A 6,294-nucleotide genomic window follows, 5' to 3' on the forward strand; every position below is an offset into this window, starting at 1 on the left:
TTCACGCCATTCTCCTGCCTCAGCCTCCCAAGTAGCTGGGACTACAGGCGCCAGCCACCGCGCCTGGCTAATTTTTGTATTTTAGTAGAGACGGGGTTTCACCGTGTTAGCCAGGATAATCTCGATCTCCTGACCCCGTGATCCACCCACCTCGGCCTCCCAAAGTGCTGGGATTACAGGTGTGAGTCAGCGCTCCCAGCCTTTTTTTTTTTTTTTTTTTTTTTTTCTGACATGCTCCTTGAGCCCTCAGCACTCTTGCTCCTGTCTATTTTGGCTAGGAAATCTCTTTAGTGAGTCCTGAGAACTACCATTGCCTTTCTCTTTTGTTGGTTCCTCTGCTTCCTGAATCCCATTTTCTCCTGTTTTAATTTACTTCCTAATTAGACGGGCTATAGACTCCAGAAGCTTCCTTAAAAAATGCATGGGAAACAAATTATTTTTTATCTTTACGTGATTCTTTGTTTTTAACCTTATATAAATAGCTTGGCTGGGATTTGAATTCAAGTTTAGAAATCCTCCTCAATCAGCACTTTGAAGGCATTCCTCCACTGTCTTCTGGCCTTCACTGCTGCTTTTGAGAAGTCTATGCCATTCTAATATGGCATCTCAATCCTTAGTATCTGCCTCATTTCATCTTTCCAGAAGTTTTTATGACTTTCTTTTTTTCTATTTGATATTTTGAACTTTCATTATAATATGTATTGTTCTAAACTTGGTGTGTATTGTACTGAATACTTAATGAATCCTTTCATTCAGAGCACTAAATTGTTTTGGTTTGAGGAAATTTCCTAATATTGCTTCCCTGATAATTTCTTCCTTACTCTTTTCTCTTCATAGAATTCCTATTATACAGATGTTCCACTTCCTGGATGATCTTTTACATTTCTTACTTTTTCTCTTCTTGTCCATCTTTATCTCTTCATTTTCCTTTTAGAGGGATATCTTAACTTTATCTTACAAACTTCTCACTGACATTAAAAAAAAATTTAAACTATTTTTTAATTTCCCAGAAGCGAAGTCTTTCTTGTTTTCTGACTATACGTGTTTTTTAAAATTAAATTTCTGTTCTTGTTTTGTGGATACAATATCTTTTCTCATCTCTCTGGGGATATTAACATTAACTCATGTTAAAATTGACTCATTTCCTCATTTCCTCTAGCCTCTAAGGTTGGAATTACTTCTGTAATATAGCTGGCCCCGAGAAAAATGCTATCTTCAACAAGTGGGTAATCAGAAAGATCGTTAATCCAACTGCACCCTTAGGAATATATCAGATGTGTTTGGGTGATTTTTTTTTTTTTTTTTAGTTACTAGCTTTATGCTTTCATGTGGAAACATTTCCTCAAATGTACAGCAATCGTTAGATCTCATATTTAAGAGCAGGACACAGAAAAGTTTAATGGAAGGTGTGTACTCATCATTACATAATGAGTACATTCAGGATTTTGTCCCCTTGGGAGAGCAACCTACTACATTTCACAAATCTTTCTTGAATCAGAAATTGCTCTTTACTGCAGGTGAAAATGCCACTGGGTTTTCAGTTATCTTGGGTAGAGTTCCATATTGTAGCTAAAAGAGACAGATCTTTCAGGGTCTTTTCAATCTCAAACAAACTCCTGAAATCTGATGACATCTGAAACATAGAATAAAGAATTTCTTGGAAAGTTAGATAGCATTATTGGCAGGAAAATCTCAAAAACTAAAGTTCAAAGTAACTGTACCAAGTAATCAATAAAACCTGGCAAACAAACTGGCACGGAGAAAGAGGCTGTGTAATTCAACAAAGCATTTAGACAAGCAAGACGGCCTTACTTATTTCTGTCATGCAGAATCAATTCAAATGCCAGCTTTCTATACAGGTTTTAGAATTATTTCTCTTGGTATAATAGTTTGAGTTCCAAAAGGATTCTAGAGGGTAACATAATGTGTCTCCAAATATTGTCAACTTAAAACCATGCATTATAGTTATTATTTAATTAGGCTATTGGTTAGCCCCATATATTCATTTCAGGTCTAATATTTGCTTGCTTCATTGAGATAATCTCATCAACTTAGTAAGCCTTGAGTTTCCCTTGCCTATTTCCAGAGTTTTTGTACTAAAAAATGTTTTTGAGCCTCAGACTCATACCAGTAAAAGTGACTTTTGCAGCTCTGTCCCCATTAGAACAGATCCATGATGTACCTTCCTAAGTTATTCAAAGTGTCTGTAGAGATTCTATGTGCTTTTTGAGGAAATTGTCCAAAAGCAGAATTTTGTACAGATATAGATATAAAATATATATGAAATAGTATATATTATTAATTATATATAACATATAAAATATATAATATATAATTATATATGAAATAATACTTTAATTATATATGTAAATAATATACACTATTTGTATATATTCATATATATTTATATATGAATATATAAAAAATTATATATTTATACATCTATATGTAAGTATATATTAGTATATCTATATAAATATAAAATATAAATATATATAAAAATATATCTTTCTATATGACTATATAAAAATATATATGAATATATATGAAATTATATATTTATATATCAATATATAGATATATACACATACATCTAATCTCTTGTGAGGAACAGCAGGAAGTGGTTGGGGAGGGGGTTCTGCTGAAGTGATCCTCATTGGGATATGAATATATATGAAATATATATGAATATGTATGAAATTATATATTTATATATCTATGTATGAAATATATCTATATATTGATATACCAAATATATCAAAATATATCGATTGATAATATCAAATTGATACATCAAATATATCAAAATATATCAATTGATATATCAAATTGATACATCAAATATATCAATAGATATATTAAAATATACCTATTGATATATCAAAATATACCTATATATTGATATATCATATATATCAATATGCATGAATATATGAATATATAAATATATATGTAATTATATATTTGTATATTAATATAGAAAATATATGAAATTATATATTTATATATTAATATATAAATATATATACACACATATCTAATCTTTAGTGAGGAACAGCAGGAAGTGGTTCGGGAGGGGGTTCTGCTGAAGTAGCGCTCATTGGGAAGCTTGAATAAACAGATAGGTCCTCAAGTCCCCACTTGCTCCTATCCACCCAGTTGACAGGGGCTCCAGACTTTGAGACGAAACTCACTGAGGAAGCTGGGGGTAATTGATTAAAATCTGCACACTGCATGATTATAAGCCCCACCCATATATATATGAAATATATGTGTATAAGCATGTATGAAATTAGTCTAAAAACTACATTTTACATAGGGACCATAAACATAACTTGACCCTTGAGATAAAACTACATATTATGCAACGGGGGTGCTGAGGTATCTTGAGATACTGGATGGCAAATGCTATACAACTCAGATTTGGGAGGTTAGAATTACTTCCATAATGTAGCTGGCCCACAAAAAAATACTAGCCCCAAAAAGTATGTAATTAAAAGGAAAGATTGTTTATCCAACCTTTTTTCAACTGCATCCTTATAATATATCAGATGCCTTTCAGGGGTGTTTTTATTTTTTTGTCTTTCTGTATTTCCACGTTTTATACAATATCTATGTATTTCTTTCATAATTGCATTGGGAATAATGAATTCTGCTTTGAGTCCTTTAAAATTCAAAAGATATAAATGAATTTTGGGAACTTACAACAATAAACATTTCTGATATACTCACAGATAGTAAAACAAATTACTATCATCTAGTTAAATAACAGCAAAACGTTCTGACATTGAATTTAGTCATTCCACCCTCAATTATGTGATGATCTCCTAAAGGTAAATATTAGAAATTTTCTCTCTCCAGACCCTTATTAAAGAGAAAATCATATGCTCTATAGAAGATACGCTGTCCACTTTTATAAGAAAATAGAATGTTCTTCTTTAACCAGAGTCTTTTATTATTCAGATAAGATTTTGAGGGTCAGATTCTGAGCTGCAACTTGAAATTTCCTCTGACTCTTTTCTTGGAGTAATTCAAAATTGGCAGGAAAGCTTTTGTTTGCTAACCACCAAGTAATTATTTCATCATAAGGCTCAGAAGAGAAAGAATGTCTATTACTTCTGCTTTTGAAGAGGCACCTTCAAGAAAGATTCAAACCCATTGCACAAGGGGTGGAAAAATAGACAGACACATGCAATTTGAATTTGGCAGGAGTATGAAACGCCTTTGAGATATTAGATTTTCCAGTTGCACCGCCTAGCAGAGTGAGAGCTGTCAAACTTGGAGAGACCAGTATGTTTTTAGTATATATAAATAACATATTGTTCACAGGATTAACAAAGGGTGGGGAAGTCCTGTGTTGTAAATAAAAGAATATCTTTGAAATATTTAGGTCTTGGACCAACTGCTGTAGATTATGTATATAATCTTGGATAAAATCCCTAAATTAGAGCTCTGTGTCTTTGACATGAACCTATCAAAGTTTGCTATTCTGAATCCTCTTATTAGATTTTGTGAGAAAAGAGGACTGGATTAGGAGTCAGACCTTTAGGCTCTGGCCCCACCTTTGTCACTTACTGTGTGGCGAGGGGTTTGAACTTCAGTTTCCTCATCTATAAAATGGGGATATAATTCCTAGTTACTTAATACATTTAATAGTCATGAGATGATACATTTAAAAGTATTTCACAAACTATAAAATGTTATAAACATGTAAAGAATTATTATTAGTAAACATAGTGCATGTAAAGGAATTTTCAAATTATGTAAAAACTCTTATGCGATACTATCACTGTGCCTTTTATTAGTTGTGTTGTCAAAGCTTGAGAATCCAGAGAGCTTTCTATACTGCTCTACCTGATAAACCCAAGGTAACAAATTGTAAGATGTGTGGTCACTGGGGACTTGTCCCATGCTGGTTACATCATCAAGAAGTGGCGCATGGCATGGAGGGAAGAGCGCCTGACTTGGATCAAGATGCGCCTGAGTTTGGTTTGCCAGATCCTTGTAGAACCTTTAGGAAGCAGCTGAGCCTCTATTTTTTTTTTTCTCTAACGAAGGATTGAACTAGATAACCTCTAAATTTTTATCCAGTAATAAAATTATATTATTGTATAATTGCTTAAAATATCAATTGTCTTTGAGGGTTCACTAGAGTGATTCAACCTTTGTGCTATAAGCCCCTGTGAGGGGCTGCAACTACGATTCTACAGGAATCACTGAGCTACTTAAAGGCAGGATTAGGGAGAGGTATTTTTGTTTTACTGCCCAGAGTTGACCCTACACAGCCAAGTGCCCACCAACGATAGTAGTAAACAACCCAGGAGCCATCATAATATGAATAAACAGCAAGGGTCCCACCTGCCGGGCCAGTGAGGTGTGCTTTATTGTCATGGTGTTCCTAGGAGCAGCTGAAGATAAACCTATACCAGATGGCCTGACTCCATTGCTTTGAAATTACCACCTACTTTAGAGGGGAGTCCTAAGCCCTAAATCTCTAGGGAACTGATTAATTAAATCAACCATTTTTGAGGATTAGATTTTGTTTTGAAGCTGTTCATAAGCCAAAGGTATTCAACATGAAAAAAATATATATATATATTTTTGAGACAGGGTCTCACTCTGTCACGCAGTACAGTGGCACTATCCTAACTCACTGTAACCTATAACTCCCAGGCTCAAAGGATTCTCCCACCTTAGCCTCCCAAGTAACTGGGACTATGGGCATGCACCATCATGCATAGCTAAGTTTTTCAGTTTTTTTAGAGAAGGAGTCTCCCTATGTTGCCAGAGTGCTGGAATTACAGGCATGAGTTACCGTGCCCAGCCAACATATTAATTCTGAATCAAATAGGTATATATTTGAATCCTAAATTGTCAGTTTACTAATGGGAGACTCCAGGTAAATTGTTCGATTTCTCTAAGTCTCAGTTCCTTCATCTCTAAAATGGGATAATGTCTACTTTGGAGATTTATTATACAGATAATGCATTAAAATATCTTATACATATTAAGGATTCAGTAAATGGTAATTACTGTTAATTGATGAAAAAATATTTCTAAAATTTAGGGATAGTTAACAATATAATTTATATTAAAATGAGTCTGAAGGGTTTCAGAATTTTCACATCTATTTCTAACTTTGCATTCAGTGACATTGTTATTAGCTGAGATTGGCCATAGGGGAGTATTTACACCATAGAAATTGGCAAACACTACAAGTTAGATCTATCTCTTTTTATTCCAGAGCCAATTGTTAGATACTTATAAACACACCACTGGATATAAAATTCCTGC

At 33.6% G+C, this 6,294-nt stretch overlaps 1 annotated feature.

The window, feature by feature from the left end:
* Nucleotides 5,146-5,647: an enhancer, noted in NCBI's record as "NANOG hESC enhancer chr8:58355141-58355642 (GRCh37/hg19 assembly coordinates)". NCBI's record gives its function as "activates a minimal SCP1, AML or CMV promoter by ChIP-STARR-seq in naive H9 embryonic stem cells {active_cell/tissue: H9 hESC(naive)}" and the evidence as "EXISTENCE:reporter gene assay evidence [ECO:0000049][PMID:30033119]".

This window comes from Homo sapiens, chromosome 8 (genome assembly GCF_000001405.40).
Source record: "Homo sapiens chromosome 8, GRCh38.p14 Primary Assembly".
Lineage (NCBI taxonomy): Eukaryota > Metazoa > Chordata > Mammalia > Primates > Hominidae > Homo > Homo sapiens.